Source organism: Homo sapiens, chromosome 1 (assembly GCF_000001405.40).
Source record: "Homo sapiens chromosome 1, GRCh38.p14 Primary Assembly".
Classification (NCBI taxonomy): domain Eukaryota; kingdom Metazoa; phylum Chordata; class Mammalia; order Primates; family Hominidae; genus Homo; species Homo sapiens.
In genome coordinates this window covers 236374295-236394844 of record NC_000001.11, presented here as the reverse complement: position 1 = coordinate 236394844, position 20550 = coordinate 236374295, and the positions used below count along the sequence as shown (strand labels likewise).

Below are 20550 nucleotides of genomic sequence, written 5' to 3'. Positions count from 1 at the left end.
ACGCTTAAGTGGGGTTTTATACCCATTACTTAAGTGAGAACACGTTGGAATTGGTTATGAAGAATATATTTAAGATTGCTACATTTTAACTAAAGCTATCATCCATCATAAGCCTATTATAGGAAGGCGACAGGCATTTTAAATTAAATAGGAATCTTTGAAGAGCTCTAAATAATCTTTCTCTGCCTTCACACATAAGAACAGAAAGATAAAAGTCGGGTCGAAAAAGATAATAATAGTATTTAGTGTATAATATATCCAAGAATTATCGTAAATAAGCAACCTCTGGCTAAAAACTCAGCTCTGAGAAATCCAGGAAGACAGCAAATGCCTACATACCCTCTTGGTGACCAGGAGCTTTAGTGCCTCTCCCCATCTGTTTAGTCGTCCTGAGGCCCATGGCGATGTTGAGTTTGGCTTCTTAATTCTCTGGAGTTTGCCATGGAAGAAGCAACAGATTGCGAGAAGATGCTCGCTGGTTGTCTGGCCAGAGTCAAACCTTCTAGATGAAAGCTCTCTGGGGAATTTGTAGGTGGGAGGATAAACTTCCTCTTGGTCTGCCTTCGGATAGGAAGGGAAATTTTTTTTAAGGGTATTTTATCTTAGAATCAATTTGGAGGTTTGGTTTGTGGTTCTTTCTGTACTTCTCATGGAGATGGAATTATTCTGACGTTGGCCGTCAGGAAACACTAGTTGAGTGAGCTTGTTAGCAGCCCAACCTCAAGCATTGCTATAAAGCTGGTTTGCTTTTTGAAACTCTGAAATGTAATTCATGTTTTTATCATTCCCATTCTGCATTATATCAAATAGAAGATGGTGGTATATTTTAAGGGTTTTTTTTTTTAAGGAAGATTGACTAGTTACGTAGTTATTACTCCCTTTCATTTTCATTTCCTCGTGCCTCCTTTCCTATGAATTGCAACGATCCCCATCATTACCTTTATTTTTCCCATGTGCTTTGCGAACTATAAAGTATGACGCAAATGGGTGCTATTGTTGTTTTGCACTTTACAAAAAAAGTAATTTAAAAATGATTCGCATTCACCAGAGTTCCCATACAATCAATTTGCTGTCACAATGTCCTTCAACTTTTATTTCTTTTGCTGTCCAAGAGTGTTTTAAACCACTATTGAAAATAGACATTTTTGGGCTGGGTGCAGTGGCTCACACCTGTAACCCCAGCACTTTGGGAGCCCAAGGCAGGTGGATTATTTGAGGTCAGGAGTTCGAGGCCAGCCTGGCCAATGTGATGAAACCCCACCGCTACTAAAAATACAAAAAACTTAGCTGGATTGGTGGCACATGCCTGTACTCCCAGCCACTCAGGAAGCTGAGGCAAAAGAATCGCTTGAACCTGGGAGGTGGAGGTTGCAGTAAGCTGAGATTGCACCACGGCACTCCAGCCTGGGCGACAGAGTGAGACTCTGTCTCAAAAAAAAAAAAAAAAAAAAAAGAAAGAAAGAAAGAAAAGAAAATGGACATTTTTAACATTTCCCGATAGTACCCAAACACTCAATCTCAGAGTCATGTGAAAAATTTCATATTTCCATAACTTCACTGCTCTTTGAGTGACCTCCAATTTTCCTTTTCCAATAAATGGAGATAGTGCATTTGGTAATCATGGAGTCAAATATGCTGGATTTCGCTGATGGACCTGTCACTCTAAGGTTGTGTTACATTAAGTAAGAAACCAAAACTGAGTCTGCAAGTGTCTGCAGGATTGTGAGAATTCACTGAAATAATGTTTATGTGAAAATACTGGCTGGGCATGGTGGCTCACACATGCAATTTCAGCACTTTCGGAGGCCAAGGTGGCAGGATTGCTTGAGGCAAGGAGTTCAAGACCAGCCTATGCAACATTTTGAGACCCAGTCTCTACAAAATAATTTAAATATTAGCTGGATCCCAGCACTTTGGGAGGCCAAGGTGGGTGGATCGCTTGAAGTCAGAAGTTCGAGATCAGACTGCCCAACATGGTGAAACCCCGTCTCTGCTTAAAATACAAAAATTAGCTGGGCGTGGTGACAGGCACCTGTAATCCCAGCTACTTGGGAGGCTGAGGCAGGAGAATCACTTGAATCCAGGAGGTGGAGGATCAGTGAGCTGAGATCATGCCACTGCACTCCAGCCTGGGTGACAGAGTGAGACTCCATCTCAAAATAAATAAATAAATAAATAAATACAAATACAAATACAAAAATTAGCCAGGTGTGGTGGCAGGCACCCAACTACTTGGGAGGCTGAGGCAGGAGAATCGCTTAAACCTGGGAGGCAGAGCTGCAGTGAGCTGAGATTGTGCCACTGCACTCCAGCCTGGGTGATAGAGCAAGACTCTGACAAAAAAAAAAAAAAATTAGCTGAGCATGGTGGTACATGCCTGTAGTCCCTGCTACTCTCGGAGGGTGAAGCACGAGGGTCACTTGAGCCAAGGAGTTACAGACCTCAGGGAGCTATGATCAGACCACACCACTGGGTGACAGAATGAGACCCTGTCTCCAGGCAAGCAAACAAACAAACCTAAACTAAGGCCTGTCATATAGTAGGTGCAAATAAACCAGCTACTTTCCTACCTTCATTCTTTCCTTGGAATTTAGTTTATTGAGAGAAGCTCCTATTGCCTTAGTTATAAGAAGTCAACCAATATTTATTACAGTGTTTGTACACAGCATGGAGCAATGGATTGATTGGTTTCATTCATTAATGCAATTTTAAAAATCTCACCCCCTCCCCATGAACAAAACAAAATTCCAAGCCCTGGGGAAATCCAAATGAGAAGTCCCTGACTGTTAGGAGTTTGTGGTCAAAAGAGATTTGCAAATACTGTTTTGCTATAGTACTGGAGAAATGAAAGTTTAAACCAGGAAAGATGTGTGTGTGGAAGGAGGCACTGAAGATGTATGGAAGCAAAGTGGCTTGGTCATGACCATCTCGGATTGACAGGGAAAGTTTCAGGCAAATTCCGAGGCTTTAACTCATGGGCACAAGGCTGCAGCCGTAAGTGTGGAAAGGACTGTTGGTCTCATGTCTTTTCACAAACAGATGACAATGATCAGAAATGTGCTGTTTTAAATGGGGGAAACAACAACTCAAAATATATTTTGTTTGATTCATCACAGAATACATGTTTTTGCTTATTTTATGCCATTTGAGGTAAGTGTTACAGTGAAATTTCTGCAATCTAAAAAGTTACATTATTGAACCACATGTGTCTTACTTCAAAGGATATGTACATTCCATACAGATAAAACCCAGCAAACTGGGCTGCTCAAGTGGGACTGATCTACAGAAAAGTGGCTAGAACCACGATGGTAAAATATAAATTTAGGAACATAAGAGACCCTATGCCTCAGAATGTGCCAGTTCCTACAGTTGAATTTGCTTGATATACCCTTAGTGAATCATATGTGATGGAAGATGCCCCAACAAGAGTTACTAAGTTTCCATGTCTCTGCATTTTTGGAACAGACAGTTGTTAAATTTTGCCCAGAGTGCTTTAAGGCAGTTGTACTAACTTCTGGTAATAGTGTCCAAGTTTTCTTCTTGAGAATCACTGTTCCCATCCTCAATCCAAGCAATTAGGTGGTGGCGACATCACCCCTGACTCCTGAGTCCAGGGGCTGGAATATGACTCAATTACAGCCTTTCAGGGCATTGCTACAGTGAGCCACTGAGTGGAGGAGGTGCGTGGGATCTTTACAGGGACAGGGGGACCGGTCTTAAAATAATTAGCCCAAGCTGGGCGTGGTGGCAGGCGCCTGTACTCTCAGCTACTTAGGAGGCTGAGGTGGGAGAATCACTTAAACCCAGGAGGGGGAGGTTGCAGTGAGTTGAGATCACACCATTGTACTCCAGCCTGGCGACAGAGTGAGACTCCATCTCAAAAAATAATAATAATAATAACAACTAACCCAAGAGCACACAGGTGGTAAGTGGTAGAAGGAAGGAGCAGGAGTGAAACATTTAGGAGGCTCTAGACTACTGACCTTCTTGAATGCCAGACAAAAGCATCTGAAACTAGTTTTTAGACAACAGGAAGCCAGGAAGCTAGTTTTTGAAAAGTGGCATGAGAAAATTGGTGTTTTGGAAGATTAATCCAGCAGCTGTGTGTAGGATGGAACAGAGCTAGGAGAGAATGCAGGGAGAGACCCTTTAATCCTTTTGATACACTGTAATTTATTAGAGTTGAATTTACATCCTCATCCAAATGCAGGAGAAACATATCAGAATTTTTTTTCCATACGTTATTGGGGTACAGGTGGTATTTGGTTAATGAGTAAGTTCTTTTTTTTTCTGAGACGGAGTCTCGCTCTGTCCCCCAGGCTGGAGTGCAGTGGCTGGATCTCAGCTCACTGCAAGCTCCGCCTACCAGGTTCACGCCATTCTCCTGCCTCAGCCTCCTGTAGCTGGGATTACAGGCGCCCGCCACCACGCCCAGCTAATTTTTTGTATTTTTAGTAGAGATGGGGTTTCACCGTGTTAGCCAGGATGGTCTTGATCTCCTGACCTCGTGATCCGCCCGCCTCGGCCTCCCAAAGTGCTGGGATTACAGGCATGAGCCACCACGCCCGGCCATGAGTAAGTTCTTTAGTGGTGGTTTGTGAGATTTTGGTGCACCCATCACCCGAGGAGAATACAGTGCACCATATTGGTTGTCTTTTATCCCTTGCCCCCTCCCACTCTTCCCTCAAGTCCCCAAAGTTCACTGTATCATTCTTATGCCTTTGCATCCTCATAGCTTAGCTCCTACACATCAGTGAGAACACACGATGTTTGGTTTTCCATTCCTATCAGAAAATATTAAATCTTCTTTTGCTACCTTCTTGTTTTTGAGACAGGGTCTTGCTCTGTCTCCGAGGCTGGAGTGCAAAGTGTAGTGGCATGATCACAGCTCACTGCAGCGTCGTCGTCCTGAGGTTCAAGCAGTCCCTCCACCTCAGCCTCTTGAGTGTCTGGGACTACAGATGTACCCCACCACGCCTGGCCAATTTTTTTATTTTTATTTTTTGTAGAGACAGGAGTCTCACTACATTACCTAGGCAGGTCTCGAACTCCTGGGCTCAGGGAATCCACCTGCCTTGGCCTCTAAAGTACTGGGATTACATGTGTGGGCCACCATGCCTAGTCTTGTTACCTTCTTAAGCATTCATTATTATACAGGAGTCAATTGCCTTGTAGATTTTGCATACATACATAAAATTATCTGGAAAGTTTTATTCCAAAATGTCAACAGAGGGACAGAAGCTTAAGTAAAATATTACCTTTGTGCTGATTTGATTTCTGTTTGTCAGAGACACAGCATTCCAGTGCGTGTATTTAAGCATGAATCTTAAGTTCCTCTCTTCACTTATGCAATACCCTTCCTCACACAGGAGATTAAATCTCTCTTGTCTACTTGCAGTTTACTTTGAATTGTTTACTCACTAGAAGCATGAGCAGTGTTTGGTTTCCCACAAACAGAATGGCAAAGTGTGGGTGATTCTTAGTATGGTGTATTGCTAAACACACTTAGAATGCCCTGGGTGGGGAGTGGTAGGTGCAGAGCAGAGAGGAGGGATGGGATGGGGTGAAAAAGTGTGGCTGTGCAGAGGGCACTTTTATTCTACATATCCTCCTGTAGCCTCGGGATCCTCACTCACAACCTTGCAGGTGTTCCTGGTGCCTTGATCATGGGTGCTCCCACACCCAGCACCATTTCCAGCTGCTTTTTTAGTGAATGCCTTCATACATAGCAATTTATTTCTTGCTTCAGATTTTGAGATAAAATCTGTTCCAAAAGATGAACTTCATATATTAAAACCTGAAACCCAAGTAATGAAATTCAGCTAGAGAAGTTTTTTGAGGGATGTTTGCTTTGGTTATTGCTGTTGCAAGAAAAGGACAAATGGAAAAACAATCTAGTGTTATCAGTGACCATAGCTAGCGTTCAGTATCTTTCTACTCCCAGAATGGAGAACACAGGCTCAGACTGGTAACTCAGGAATCTACAAAATGATCAATCACTTTAAAAATTCATTTAACAAATTGTCATTTAGAACTTATTCTGAGCTAAGACAAGAAGGTGGACTTGGATCCAAGTGAGTCACCTGAGAAACTATTAGAACTAATAAGTGAATATAGCTTGGTGGGGAGTTATCAAACACCAAGAGCTTTCTTATATGACAACAATATCCAACTGGGTGCGGGGGGAAGGTCCCATTTAAATCAACAAGTAAAACTATAAAGTAACTAGAAATAAATTCAATAAAACTGTGTGAGAGCATTATTGCAAATACTACAAAGCTTTAGTGAAAAACATAAAAAGAAATCTGACGGAATAGCAAGCTATACCATGTTAATGGATAAAATGTCTCAATATTGTAAAGATAGTCATGATTCCTTAATTAATCTACAGATTCAATGCTAACTCAACCAAATTAACAAGACTTTCTTGGAACATAAAACTGATTGCAAAATTCATATGGGAGAGTAAATTCAAGATCACTTTGAGAAAGAATAACAAGGATTTGTCTTACAATATAGCAAGATATGATAAAACAACAGTAGTTAAAACACTGAATATTGGTACAAGAAAAGTGAAAAAAAGATTAATGGAACAGAACAAAAATGTAAGACACAGACTCATGTATGTGTTTGGAATATGATAAATGATAGACACATTTAAATGGTCAAAAGACAGTTCAAATGGTGTTGGGAGGATACACACACACACACACACATACACAATGCAATTTATATTTCTGTCTCACCCTATACACAAAAGTAAGCTTTGGATAGATTAAAGATCTAATTGTAAAACATTAACTTTCAAATTATTATTATTATTATTTTTTTTTTTAATTTATTTTTTTATTGATAATTCTTGGGTGTTTCTCACAGAGGGGGATTTGGCAGGGTCATGGGACAATAGTGGAGGGAAGGTCAGCAGATAAACCAGTGAACAAAGGTCTCTGGTTTTCCTAGGCAGAGGACCCTGCGGCCTTCCGCAGTGTTTGTGTCCCTGATTACTTGAGATTAGGGATTGGTGATGACTCTTAACGAGCATGCTGCCTTCAAGCATCTGTTTAACAAAGCACATCTTGCACCGCCCTTAATCCATTTAACCCTGAGTGGACACAGCACATGTTTCAGGGAGCACAGGGTTGGGGGTAAGGTCACAGATCAACAGGATTCCCAAGGCAGAGGAATTTTTCTTAGTGCAGAACAAAATGAAAAGTCTCCCATGTCTACTTCTTTCTACACAGACACGGCAACCATCCGATTTCTCAATCTTTTCCCCACCTTTCCCGCCTTTCTATTCCACAAAGCCGCCATTGTCATCCTGGCCCGTTCTCAATGAGCTGTTGGGCACACCTCCCAGACGGGGTGGTGGCCAGGCAGAGGGGCTCCTCACTTCCCAGTAGGGGCGGCCGGGCAGAGGCGCCCCTCACCTCCCGGACGGGGCGGCTGGCCGGGCAGGGGGGCTGACCCCCCCCACCTCCCTCCCGGAGGGGGCGGCTGGCCGGGCGGGGGGCTGACCCCCCTACCTCCCTCCCGGACGGGGCGGCTGGCTGGTCAGAGGGGCTCCTCACTTCCCAGTAGGGGCGGCCGGGCAGAGGCGCCCCTCACCTCCCGGACGGGGCGGCTGGCCGGGCGGGGGGGCTGACCCCCCCCACCTCCCTCCCGGACGGGGCGGCTGGCCGGGCGGGGGGCTGACCCCCCCACCTCCCTCCCGGACGGGGCGGCTGGCCAGGCGGGGGGCCGACACCCCCACCTCCCTCCCGGACGGGGCGGCTGGCCGGGCGGGGGGCCGACCCCCCCACCTCCCTCCCGGATGGGGCGGCTGGCCGGGCAGAGGGGCTCCTCACTTCCCAGTAGGGGCGGCCGGGCAGAGGCGCCCCTCACCTCCCGGACGGGGCGGCTGGCCGGGCGGGGGGCTGACCCCCCCACCTCCCTCCCGGACGGCACGGCTGGCCGGGCGGGGGGGCTGACCCCCCACCTCCCTCCCGGATGGGGCGGCTGGCCGGGCGGGGGGCTGACCCCCCCCACCTCCCTCCCGGACGGGGTGGCTGCCGGGCGGAGACGCTCCTCACTTCCCAGATGGGGTGGCTGCCGGGCGGAGAGGCTCCTCACTTCTCAGACAGGGCAGCTGCCGGGCGGAGGGGCTCCTCACTTCTCAGACGGGGCGGTTGCCAGGCAGAGGGTCTCCTCACTTCTCAGACGGGGCGGCCGGGCAGAGACGCTCCTCACCTCCCAGACGGGGTCTCGGCCGGGCAGAGGCGCTCCTCACATCCCAGATGGGGCGGCGGGGCAGAGGCGCTCCCCACATCTCAGACGATGGGCGGCCGGGCAGAGAGGCTCCTCACTTCCTAAATGTGATGGCGGCTGGGAAGAGGCGCTCCTCACTTCCTAGATGGGATGGCGGCCGGGCGGAGATGCTCCTCACTTTCCAGACTGGGCAGCCAGGCAGAGGGGCTCCTCACATCCCAGACAATGGGCGGCCAGGCAGAGACACTCCTCACTTCCCAGACGGGGTGGCGGCCGGGCAGAGGCTGCAATCTCGGCACTTTGGGAGGCCAAGGCAGGCGGCTGGGAGGTGGAGGTTGTAGCGAGCCGAGATCACGCCACTGCACTCCAGCCTGGGCACCATTGAGCACTGAGTGAACGAGACTCCGTCTGCAATCCCGGCACCTCGGGAGGCCGAGGTTGGCGGATCACTCGCGGTTAGGGGCTGGAGACCGGCCCGGTCAACACAGCGAAACCCCGTCTCCACCAAAACCAGTCAGGCGTGGCGGCGCGTGCCTGCAATTGCAGGCATTCGGCAGACTGAGGCAGGAGAATCAGGCAGGGAGGTTGCAGTGAGCCGAGATGGCAGCAGTACAGTCCAGCTTTGGCTCCGCATGAGAGGGAGACCGTGGGGAGAGGGAAAGGAGAGGGAGAGGGAGAGGGAGAGGGAGAGGGAGAGGGAGGGGAGAGGGAAAGGAGAGGGAGAGGGAGAGGGAGAGGGAGAGGGAGAGGGAGGAGAGGGAGAGGGAGAGGGAGAGGGAGAGGGAGAGGGAGAGAGCTAACTTTCAAATTATTAAGAGAGAATACAAGAGAATCTCTTAACAATTTGGTAAAAGGAAGAGCTTTCTTTTTTTTTTTGAGATGGAGTTTCGCTCTTGTCGCCCAAGCTGGAGTGCAATGGCACAATCTCAGCTCACTGAAACCTCTGTCTCCTGGGCTCAAGTAATTCTCCTGCCTCAGCCTCCCAAGTAGCTGGGATTACAGGCACCTGTCACCACACCGAACTAATTTTTGTATTTTTAGTAGAGACGGGGTTTCAGCATGTTGGCCAGGCTGGTCTGGAACCCTTTACCTCAGATGATCTGCCCACCTCAGCCTCCCAAAGTGCTGGGATTACAGGCGTGAGCCACTATGCCCAGCCTGGAAGAGCATTTTTTTTTTTTTTTTTTTTTTTGAGATGGAGTCTCGCTCTGTCGCCCAGGCTGGAGTGCAGTGGTGCAATCTCGGCTCACTGCAAGCTCCACCTCCCGGCTTCATGCCATTCTCCTGCCTCAGCCTCCCGAGTAGCTGGGACTACAGGCACCCACCACCACGCCTGGCTAATTTTTTTGGATTCTTGGTACAGACGGGGTTTCACCGTGTTGGCCAGGATGGTCTTGATCTCCTGACCTTGTGATCTGCCCACCTCGGCCTCCCAAAGTGCTGAGATTACAGGCGTGAGCTACCGCGCCCGGCCAGGAAGAGCTTTCTTAAGGCAAAAAAAAAAAAAAAAAGAATCAAAAGGCATAGAATAAAAATCTGATAAACCCAACCAGATACAAATTTAAATTATCTGCAGCAAGACAAGAGAAGTTCTAAAGCAGGGAATAGACTTGGATAAATTAATTTATATTAATTATTAATCTTTGCTATATAACAAAGGTGAGTATCCAAATTTTAAAGCATTTTTTCAAGTAAGTTAAAATATAATAAAAATAATTCAATATAAGTGTAAACAAAGACTAAACAGAAAATTTCTAGAAGAAATAAAAATAGGCAATGAAATTATTGTCTGAAAATGGGCCAGGAGCTTTGGAAGGTCCAGGAATTGCTTGAGGCCAGGAGTTTGAGATTAGCCCAGCCTTGGCAGCATAGTGAGACACTGTCTCTACAAAAAATAATAATAATAATAATTAGCCAGATGCAGTGGCACAGACCTGTAATCTAGCTACTCAGGAGGCTGAGGTGGGAGGATCACTTGAGCCCAGGAGTTTGAGACCAGCCTAGGCAATACACAAGATCCTGTCTCTACAAAAAAATTTAAAAATTAGCCAAGTATGGTGGCATGCACCTGTAGTCAGGCTAATTGGGAGGCTGAGGTGGGCAGATCCCTTGAGCTCAAGAGTTTGAGACTGCAGTGACCTATGATTGCACTACTGCACTCCAGAGCAAGACCCCATCTTTTAAAAACAAAAAAATTGAAAAAGGTACTTAACCCACTAGAAATAAGATAAATGCAAATTAAAATACTAATGAGTTAACCGATCGGCAAATTTTTAAAGCTTGTTCATATCAAATATTGGCAAGATTGCAGAGACATAGACCCTCATACATTGTAGGAATATAAATTGATATGATTACACTGTAGAGGAATTTGACCGATGTATTTTCCCTAAGCAAACTCTTACATGTGGGTACAAGGAGACATGCATAAGGACACTGGTTGCAGCATTGTTTGTAATAACAAAGATTGGAAATGACATAAGCATTCATCAATGGGGTATGGGTAAATATGATACAACACATTCATGTAATAGAATATTTTACAGAAGTTACACGATATAAACTCAAAAATATTATTTTATTTTATTTTATTTTTTTGAGACAAGGTGTTACTCTGTCACCCAGGCTAGAGTGCAGTGGCACAATCAAAGATCACTGCAGCCTCGACCTACCGGGGCTCAAGTGATCCTCCCATCTCAGCCTCCTGAGTAGCTGGGACCACAAACATGTGCCACTGCCTGGCTAGTTCTTAAACTTTTTGTACAGATATGGTATCACTACGTTGCCCAGGCTGGTCTCCAGCTTTTGACCCCAAATGACCCTCCCACCTCAGCCTCCCAGAGTTCTGGGATTACAGGTATGAGCCACTATTCTCAGCCAAAACATTTTTAAATGACCAAATAAGTTGCAGATTAATATCAGAGGTAGAAAAAAAATCCAGTCTGTATATTTTCTATAACTACATGTAATTCCTTTGTAAATGGATACATGTCAACTTTGTCTTGCAACCAAGATAGAGTAACAGGAACAAGATTTTCCCTTCTGCCTGAAACAATACAACAAAAAACCCAGACAAAATATATAAAACAACAGGTTTTAAGACAGCACACCAGGTGAAGAAGGATGGTGCTCTCTGGGAGCTGGAATACAAACAAGGGGATTCCTATGATTGCACTCAGCTTACTGCCTTGAGAGATTTTTTTTTTTTTTTTTTGAGACGGAGTCTTGCCCAGGCTGTAGTGCAGTGGTGTAATTTTGGCTCACTGCAACCTCCACCTCCTAGGTTCAAGTGATTCTCTCGCCTCAGCCTCTCGAGTAGCTGGGACTACAGGCATGCACCACCATGCCTGGCTAATTTTTATATTTTTAGTGGAGACAGGGTTTCTCTATGTTGGCCAGGCTGGTCTCAAACTCCTGACCTCAGGTGATATGTCCATCTTGGCCTCCTAAAGTGCTGAAATTACAGGTGTGAGCCACTGCGCCCGGCCTTCCTTGAGAGATTTCTAAGTTGCAGCGCAGAGAAAGGACACTCAGACAGAGACTGCTGGACTCCCTGGTTTGAGGAGCTAGAACTGAGAGTCTGAGGAAATCAAAACATCTAGAAGTCTCAGGACAGAATACTGTAGGGTAAAGACTTCCCAGAGAGATCCTAAGAGATCTATAGAATGTCCCCCTTGAGGACCCAGCAGAACACTTATTGATCAGCGCATGCATCCTGGAAATTATCCAAGGCTGGGGAAAGAACCATGTGGGAACTTCAGAGGGAACCGTGCCTGGTGCTCACTCAGGGCTAGTAATAGTGCCTGTTCGTGCCAACCAGACTGGAAAACAACCTTATAATTCATGAGCATTTGGTAGAGTACACAAAAGGGTCTTGCCTGAATAGTGGAGAATAATTAGTCCTAGACTGAGCACACCCTGCCCCAGTTCCACCTAACAAACCTTAAAAGTGAGACCTGGAAGTTTCAAATTCTTTCCAACCAACTTAACTGCTCAAGGACAAAGCTAAAGAGGAGGTATAGGAATACAAAAATATCCAGTATCCAATGAAGTGAATTCATAACATCTGGAATACAATGATTACCAGACTTGCAGGAAGCAGAAAAACATAGCTTACAATAAGGAGAAAAACTGGTCAATTGAAACAGACCCAGAATGGACACAGATGATACAGTTAGTAAGAAGGACATTAAAACTTTTATTGTAACTGTAGTCCATGGGTTCAACAAGCTAAGTAGAGACACACAAAACATAAAAAGGTCCAAACTACAACTTTTAGAAATTAAAACTATAATACCTGAGAGTAAAGATACTCTGGATGGAATTAATGGCAGATAAGATATTGCAGAAGAAAATATTAGTGACTTGGAGACATAGAAATTGAAGGGAAAAGTAACTTTAGAAAATGAAAAGGGCTAGGAGTAACTTCAAATCTCTTAATATACATGTAATTGGAATCCCAGAAATGTAAAGAGGAAGGACAAAAATGTTTGAAGAAATAATGGCCAAAAATTTTTTAAATTTGAGGAAAACCTTAAACTCACAGACCAGAAGCTCAATGAACACCAAGCACAAGACATATGAAAAAAAAATCACCAAAACCCAACATAATCATATTGCTCAAAGCCATGGATAAGATAAAATTTTAACAGACTAAGCCAGGTATGGTGGCATGTGCCTGTAGTCCCAGTTACTCTGGAGGCTGTGACTGTAGGATGGCTTGAGCCCAAGAGTTTCAGGCCAGCCTGAGCAACATAAGATCCCATCCAACTCTGAAAAAAAAAAAAAAAAAAAAAAAAGCAACCACAGGAAGAAAAAAAAAAAGACATATTACAGAGGCATAAAAACAAGGATGACAGCAGATTTTTCATCAGAAACCATGTAAGGCAGGAGGCAGTGGAGCTATTTTTTTAAAGAATTGACAGAAAAATATGTCTGGGATTACAGGTATGACCCACCATGCCCAGCTTAAAAAATATATTTTAAATCAAAATAGTAACAATGTATTTAGGGCTTATGATATATGTAGAGATAAAACTAATGAAAACAATTGTTCAAAAGCCTAGAAGGGAGATATGGAAGCTAAGGATTTTTATGCATGAATTGTTGTAATATCACTTAAAAATACACTCTGACATGTTAAAGATGTATATGATAAACGCTAAAGTAAACACTAAAATAGCACAAGCTTATATGTAACAAACCTGCACGTTGTGCACATGTACCCTAGAACTTAAAGTATGATAATAATAAAAAAGTAAATAAAAATAAAAAATAAAATAAAATAAAAATAAAAATGAATGGTGTATCTTTAGAATGGAATACTACTTACCAATAAAAGGAACAAACTATTGATACACATAACAACACAAATGAATCTCAAAATAGTTATGCTGAGTGAAAGAGGCCAGAAAAAAACAAAAGCATGCGTATTGTATGACTCCACTGATAATAAATCTATTGCAACACAAACTAATTTATAATAACAGAAAGCTGATTAATGGGTGCCCAGGATTGAGGGTGGGGCGGGAAGGATGGATTACAAAGGCAGATGAGTAAACTTTGGGGGCTAACGGACATGTTCATTCTTTTGCTCATGATGATAGTTTCATGGGCCTATATGTATGTCAAAACTGATCAAGTTGTGCACTTGACATATGTGCAGTTGATTCTATGGCAATTATACCCCAATAAAGCTACTTTAAATAAATAGCCAGGCACTGATGGCACAAACCTGTGGTCCCAGATACTGGGGAGGCTGAGTCGAGAAGATCACTTGAGGCCAGGAGTTCAAGGCTGCAGTGCACTATGATGGCACCTGTGAATAGCCACTGCATTAAGCCTAGGCAACATAGCTAAACCCCATTTCTACAACAAACAAACAGATACATGCCAAGCTCATAACAATAGCTAATAATGGCTATTTCTGGGCAATTAGGAAAGGACTAGGGTTGGGAGAAAGTAATGCTTAAAGGGGACTTTAGCTTTGTCTGTAATGTTCTTTCATTTAAAATAAATAACTTATTTATGTATTTTTATGTAATTAAAAAATTTTAATAGCAAATTTAGAAATGATTTTTTACAAAGGCACCTGCTTAGCAAAATAAGTCTTGACCTTCCCTGTCCCCCAACAAACCATGTTTCACACAGTAATCTGTTCCAAACATTTAGTCACCTAAAAAATTTCCCTTCAGTCTTCTTATTTTCCAGACTATGAATTGTTCAAATAAAAACAAAAGTAATATTAATTTACACTTGCTTCCTTTAAAAAAAATGAAAGTAAAATGGATTTTTCCTCCATTTTACAGAGTTGTGGTTAGCATATGTGAAGTGACTTCAGACTTTTTCCTATCTCAACTTACACCTTTAGCACTTTATGCCTTTGTGTCACACTATTTTAATCCTTTTCAAGACGCAAATAGTCTTATGCTATTAAGTTTTATCCAATCAGGTTTTCTCTAGAAGGCATGGGAGCGTTATGAAGGAAGGAAATAATGAAAGCAACAAGGAAATGGAAGTACACTGAGAGGCAGGTACGGGCACCAAAGGCAAACAGCAGCTCAGAGGACCTGCACATCAGCAACCTCAAACCAGCACTGCTGTTGTGTTATTAATAGCTGTAACACAGCAATTTTAGTGGCAGAAACGCCTACTTAAAATAAGCAAGTTATACCTGGTACCTTTAGCACAGAGATAAATTTAGCTCAATTGTATTTGGAATATAATTTATCATAGGTTAACAAATTAATTTACGTTTCTCTTGTGATCATTAAGAATTTGCATTCAATTTTTAATTTTTTAATTTTACTTATTGTTTTTTTGAGATGGAGTCTCACTCTGTCGCCCAGGCTGGAGTGCAGTGGCACCATCTTGGCTCACTGCAGCCTCCACCCCCCGGGGTTCAAGTGATTCTCCTGCCTCAGCCTCCCAAGTAGCTGGGATTACAGGTGCCCGCCACCACATCTGGGTAATTTTTGTATTTTTAGTAGAGATGGTGTTTCGCCGTGTTGGCCAGGCTGGTGTCGAACTCCTGACCTGAGGTGATCTGCCCGCCTCGGCCTCCCAAAGTGCTGGGATTACAAGCGTGAGCCATTGCACCTGGCCCTGACCCTGAATTTTAGAACTGCCTATCACCGGTATTTCAATAGAAGCTTTCTCAGTTTCAAGGGTATCTGTTTTCTTGAGAAGGCAGGGATTGTGACTTTAGTTGTTTATTTATTTATTTATTTTTGAGATGGAGTCTCGCTCTGGCAGCCAGGCTGGAGTGCAGTGGCATGATCTGGGCTCACTGCAACCTCCGCCTCCCAGGTTCAAGCGATTCTCCTGCCTCAGTCTCCCAAGTAGCTGGGATTACAGACATGCGCCAGCACACCCAGCTGATTTTTGTATTTTTAGTAGAGACAGGGTTTCACCATGTTGGCCAGGCTGGTCTCGAACTCCTGACCTCAGGTGATCCTCCCGCCTTGGCCTCTCAAAGTGCTGGGATTACAGGTGTGAGCCACCGCGCCCGACTGACTTTAGTTGTTTAAACGGGCAACTTCCAATAATGCTGAGTTTTCCTCAGATTTTTTTTTTACTTCAATCAGTCAGAGACTTGTAGCTCTGGAAAGAATAATTTTTATCCCTCTCTCCTCATCCCCTCTCCACATCTAGTGATCTAATCAATTACAAACACTGTAGTCTTTTTTAAAAAATAGAGTTTGGGATTGAGGATTATGGATCTAAATTTTGAATATAAAAAGAAAATAATCCAAAAAAGAAGAATTTTAAGTACACAAGATGATCATTTTAGCTGAAGTATAAATACTTCAGAGATAAATAAGGAAAAAGTGTATCTAAAACTTCAGTAGGTGGTTGAAGTTGTAGAGTGGTTGAATCATGCTGCATTAATGAAGATTGCAAAATATATCAATTCAACAATAAAATAGTTATTTTGCTCTCAAATACTTAAAACTTTATAATGGCCAGCACGCAGGGAGCTTGGAAGTCATCACTCTGTCCTAACAAGTACAAAGCTCCACACACTGAAAAATCTAACACTCTTCTTACATTTGTCAGAGAAGTAAGGTCATAGGGCAAATTCCTACCCCCAGAATTGGAGACACAGACAGGTGGATATAGAGACCCACAACTGATGGGAGTAGAAACCTCCCCAGGAACCAGCTCTGGGGTAGGAAAACCTGAACTGTAACTGAAGAATTGCTGAGTTGCTAGCAATTCTCTGAGCAATGAAAACTTCAGGCTCCCTCACCACACTTTTGTATTCACCTTAGAAGCTCCCCCAGGTTCACACAGTGACTCCTGGAGAAAAATCCCCTTGTGTTTGTAGAAGAGGGAGGGGAAAGAACCATTTTGAAATATACCAGAGCATTCTATTCTTCTTAACAAGGCCTGATCTTAGAAGAAACTATTTTATGAGAAATTAACTGGCCTGGAGGAAGGAAAATACCCAACTCCAACCCACTCTAACCATCAGATCCCACCTAAAGGGGGGTGGGTGGGACTGAGAAACACTTGTGAAGTTCACAGTTCAGAGTCATAGGCTGACAAAAGACTGAGATGTAACCATAGCACTAGGGAAAGCTTCTCTCCCCCGACACCTTAACAGCACATTGCTGAAGACCTATGAATATCAGTTCCTTTTACCCAGTATATCATGTCCAGCAGGTTAAGAAAAAATTATAAGACATACTAAAAGGCAAAAAGTTACAGTTTGCTTTTTGTTTTCTGTTTTTGTTTTTTTTTTAATGGAGTCTCACTCTGTCGTGAGGCTGGAGTGCAGTGGCACGATCTTGGCTCACTGCAACCTCTGCCTCCCGGGTTCAAGCGATTCTCCTGCCTCAGCCTCCCGAGTAGCTGGGACTACAGACATGCGCCACCATGCCCAGCTAATTTTTGTATTTTTAGTAGAGACGGGGTTTCACCATGTTGGCCAGGATGGTCTCGATTTCTTGACCTTATGATCTGCCCACCTCGGCCTCCCAAAGTGCTGGGATTACAGGCGTGAGCCACCACGCTCAGCCAAAAAAATACAGTTTGAAGAGACCGGGCAAGCATCAGAATCAGACTCATATATATATGGCAGGAATGTTGGAATTATCAGAATGGGAATTTAAAATAACTATTATTAATTTGTTAAGGGCTGGGCTGGGCGTGGTGGCTCACGCCTGTAATCCCAGCACTTTGGGAGGCCAAGATGGGCAGATAGCTTGAGGTCAGGAGTTTGAGACCAGCCTGGCCGACATGGCAAAAACCCATCTCTACTAAAAATATAAAAATTAGCTGGGTGTGGTGGCATGCCCCTGTAATCCCAACTACTCGGGGGGCTGAGGCAGGAGAATGGCGTGAACCCAGGAGGTGGAGGTTGCAGTGAACCGAGATCATGCCACTGTACTCCAGCCTGGGTGACAGAGCAAGACTCTGTCTCAAAATAAATAAATAAATAAATAAACAAAATATATAACATATATATATATAAAATATATATATGTTAAGGGCTGTAATGGATAGAGTAGGTAGCATGAAAGAGCAAATGGGCAATGTAAACAGAGAGATGGAAATTCTAAGAAAAAATCAAAAAAGAAATGCTACAGATAAAAATACTGTAACAGAAATGAAGGAATGTCTTTCATGGACTCATTAGTAGACTGGACATGGCTGAGGAAAAAATCTCCTCTGAGCTTGAGGATATGTTAATAGAAACTTCCAAGATGGAAAAGCAAAGAGAAAGAGAAAAAAGATTGGAAAAAACTGGAATGAATATCTAAGAACTGTAAGACAACTACTAAAGGTTTAACATACCCATAATGAGAATATCAGAAGGAAAAGACAGGAAGGAACAGAAAAACTATTAGAATAATGACTGTGTATTTCCCCCCATATTAATAATGTCAGACACCAAACCACGTATCCAGGAAGCTCAGAATATGCAAAGCAGGATAAATGCCAAAAAATTACATGTAGGCATATCATGTTCAAACTGTAGGAAATCAAATACAGAGAAAAAAGTTCGAAAAAAGACAGAGAGAAAAAACACCTTATTTACAGAGGACCAAAAGTAAGAATGACACCCAACTTCTCTTCAGAAATCATGTAAGCAAGATGAAAGTGAAGTGAAACTTTTTAAAGTGTTATTGAAAGAGAAAAAATGGCACCAATCTGAAATTCTATATCCTGCAAAATTATCCTGCACAAATGAAGGAGAGATAAAAAGCTTCTCGGATAAACAAAAATTAAGAGAATTTCTTGCCAGTAGTCACGCTTGGAAGAAATGCTAAAAGAAGTTCTTTAAAGGAAAAGAAAATGACATAGGTCAGAAACTCAGATTACATAAAGAAAGGAAGATCTTTCGAAAAAAGTGAAAGTAGGCCGGGCATGGTGGCTCACTCCCATAATCCCAGCACTTTGGGAGGACAAGGCAGCTGGATCACCTTTGGTCAGGAGTTCAAAACCAGACTGACCAACATGGTGAAACCCCGTCTCTACTAAAAATACAAAAATTAGCTGGGCATGGTGGTGCATGCCTGTAATCCCAGTCACTTGGGAGGCTGAAGAAGGAGAATCGCTCGAACCTCAGAGGCAGAGGTGGTAGTGAGCCAAGATCGCACCATTGCACTCCAGCCTGGGTAAGAGTGAGACTCTGTCTCAAAAAAAAAAAAAAAAAAAGGTGCAGGTAAAATAAAAACATTCTTTTTTTTTTCTTTCTTTCTTTTTAGAGACAGGGGCTCAATCTGTTACTTAGGCTGGAATGCAGTGGCACAGTCATATCTCACTGTAGCCCTGACCTCCTGGACTCAAAAAATCCTACTGCCTCAGCCTCCCAAGTAGCTGGGACTACAGGCATGCAACACTAATCTCAGCTAATTTTTAAATTTTTTGTAGAAACAGGGTCTTGCAATGTTGCCCAGGCTGGTTATTTTTTTTTATCTTTTTTTTTTTTTTTTTTGAGACCAAGTCTCACTCTGTTGCCCAGGCTGGAGTGCAGTGGCATGATCTCAGCAAATTTCAACCTCCACCTCCTGGGTTCAAGCGATTCTCCTGCCTCAGCCTCCCAAGTAGCTGGTATTACAGGCATGAGCCACCACACCTGGCTAATATTTGTATTTTTAGTAGAGATGGGGTTTCACCATGTTGGCCAGGCTGGTCTCAAATTCCTAACCTCAGGTGATTCACCCACCTTGGCCTCCCAAAGTGCTGGGATTACAGGCGTGAGCCACTGCGCCTGGCCTGGTTATTTTTCTTATTGTTAATTTAACTAACAATAACAGTTTGTTCAAAATAATAACACCACAATGTACTCAATTATGTATGCTTATATACATATATATTTACGTATGCTTATGTATCTGTGAAATGAATTACAATAATGATTTAAGAAATAGGAGGGAAGAATAAGGATTATTTTGTTATTATAGGTACCTGCACTGCCTGTGTAATGGTATAATGCTGCTTGAAAGTGGATTTGTATTAGCTGTAAATGTATATTGCAAACTGTAGGACAACAACTAAAGAAAAAGTAAGTTTTAAAAAAGTAGTATAACAGATATACTAAGAAAGAAGAGAAAATGGAATTATATGAAATACTTCATTAAAATCACAAAAAGCAGAAAAACTGTAGAAGACAAAAATAGGAACAAAGAATAAAGGCAATGAATAGAAAACAGTAACAAATATGGTAGATACCAATTATATCAATAATCACTCTAAACATCAATGATCTAAATACACCAATTAAAAGAGATTGTTAGAGTGGATCAAAAAAAGACCCAACTAGATGTTGTTCACAAGAGACCCACTTTAAATATAAAGGCACATATACATTAAATGTAAAAATTAGAGAGATACATACCATGATAACACTAATCAAAAGAAAGTGAAAATAGCTATATTAATATTGAAAGAGCAGACTTCAGAGCAAGGAAGGTTATCAGAGCTAAAGAGGGGTATTACATAATAATAAAGGGGTCAATTATTCAAGAAGACATAACAATCCTTAATGTGTATGCACCTAACAACAAAGCATCAAAATGCACAAGGCAAAAACAGACAGAAGTGCAAGGAGAACTAAATGAATCTACTATTGTGGTTGGAAATAGCTCGAGCCCAGGAGTTTGAGACCAGCCTGGGCAACGTGGCAAGACTTTGTCTCTACTAAAAATAAAAAAATTAGCCAGGCATGGTGATGCATACCTGTAATTACTTGGGAGGCTGAGGTGGGGAAGATCACTTGAGCCCAGGAGATTCATGTCACTGCACTCCAGCCTGGGAAACAGAGCAAGACCCTGTCTCAAAGAAGGAGGGAAGGAG

General features: G+C 43.1%; 1 protein-coding gene across 2 annotated transcripts in view, besides 3 other annotated features; it reads right to left on the bottom strand.

Annotated features, from left to right (window-relative positions):
• The window catches only part of EDARADD (EDAR associated via death domain), a 136672-nt gene that overhangs the window by 90086 nt on the left and 26036 nt on the right, over window positions 1-20550 (bottom strand). Inside the window, exon 1 of one of the 2 annotated variants that reach the window (NM_145861.4) lies at window positions 340-559. The exons of the other annotated variant lie outside the window; for it this stretch is intronic. Coding sequence (NP_665860.2) covers window positions 340-400 — 61 coding nt within the window. The 5' untranslated portion in view covers window positions 401-559. Of the gene's footprint in view, window positions 1-339; window positions 560-20550 lie in introns of those variants that run through there. 2 annotated transcript variants of the gene reach the window in all.
• Window positions 4845-5021: a silencer, noted in NCBI's record as "fragment chr1:236553124-236553300 (GRCh37/hg19 assembly coordinates)". NCBI's record gives its function as "represses an EF-1alpha promoter that drives an FKBP-Casp9 reporter gene in an ReSE screen in HepG2 liver carcinoma cells {active_cell/tissue: HepG2}" and the evidence as "EXISTENCE:reporter gene assay evidence [ECO:0000049][PMID:32094911]".
• Window positions 12850-13050: a silencer, noted in NCBI's record as "peak784 fragment used in MPRA reporter construct". NCBI's record gives its function as "represses an SCP1 promoter by STARR-seq MPRAs in K562 erythroleukemia cells {active_cell/tissue: K562}" and the evidence as "EXISTENCE:reporter gene assay evidence [ECO:0000049][PMID:32103011]".
• Window positions 16621-16670: an enhancer, noted in NCBI's record as "active region_2822". NCBI's record gives its function as "activates an Ori minimal core promoter by ATAC-STARR-seq in GM12878 lymphoblastoid cells {active_cell/tissue: GM12878}" and the evidence as "EXISTENCE:reporter gene assay evidence [ECO:0000049][PMID:35858748]".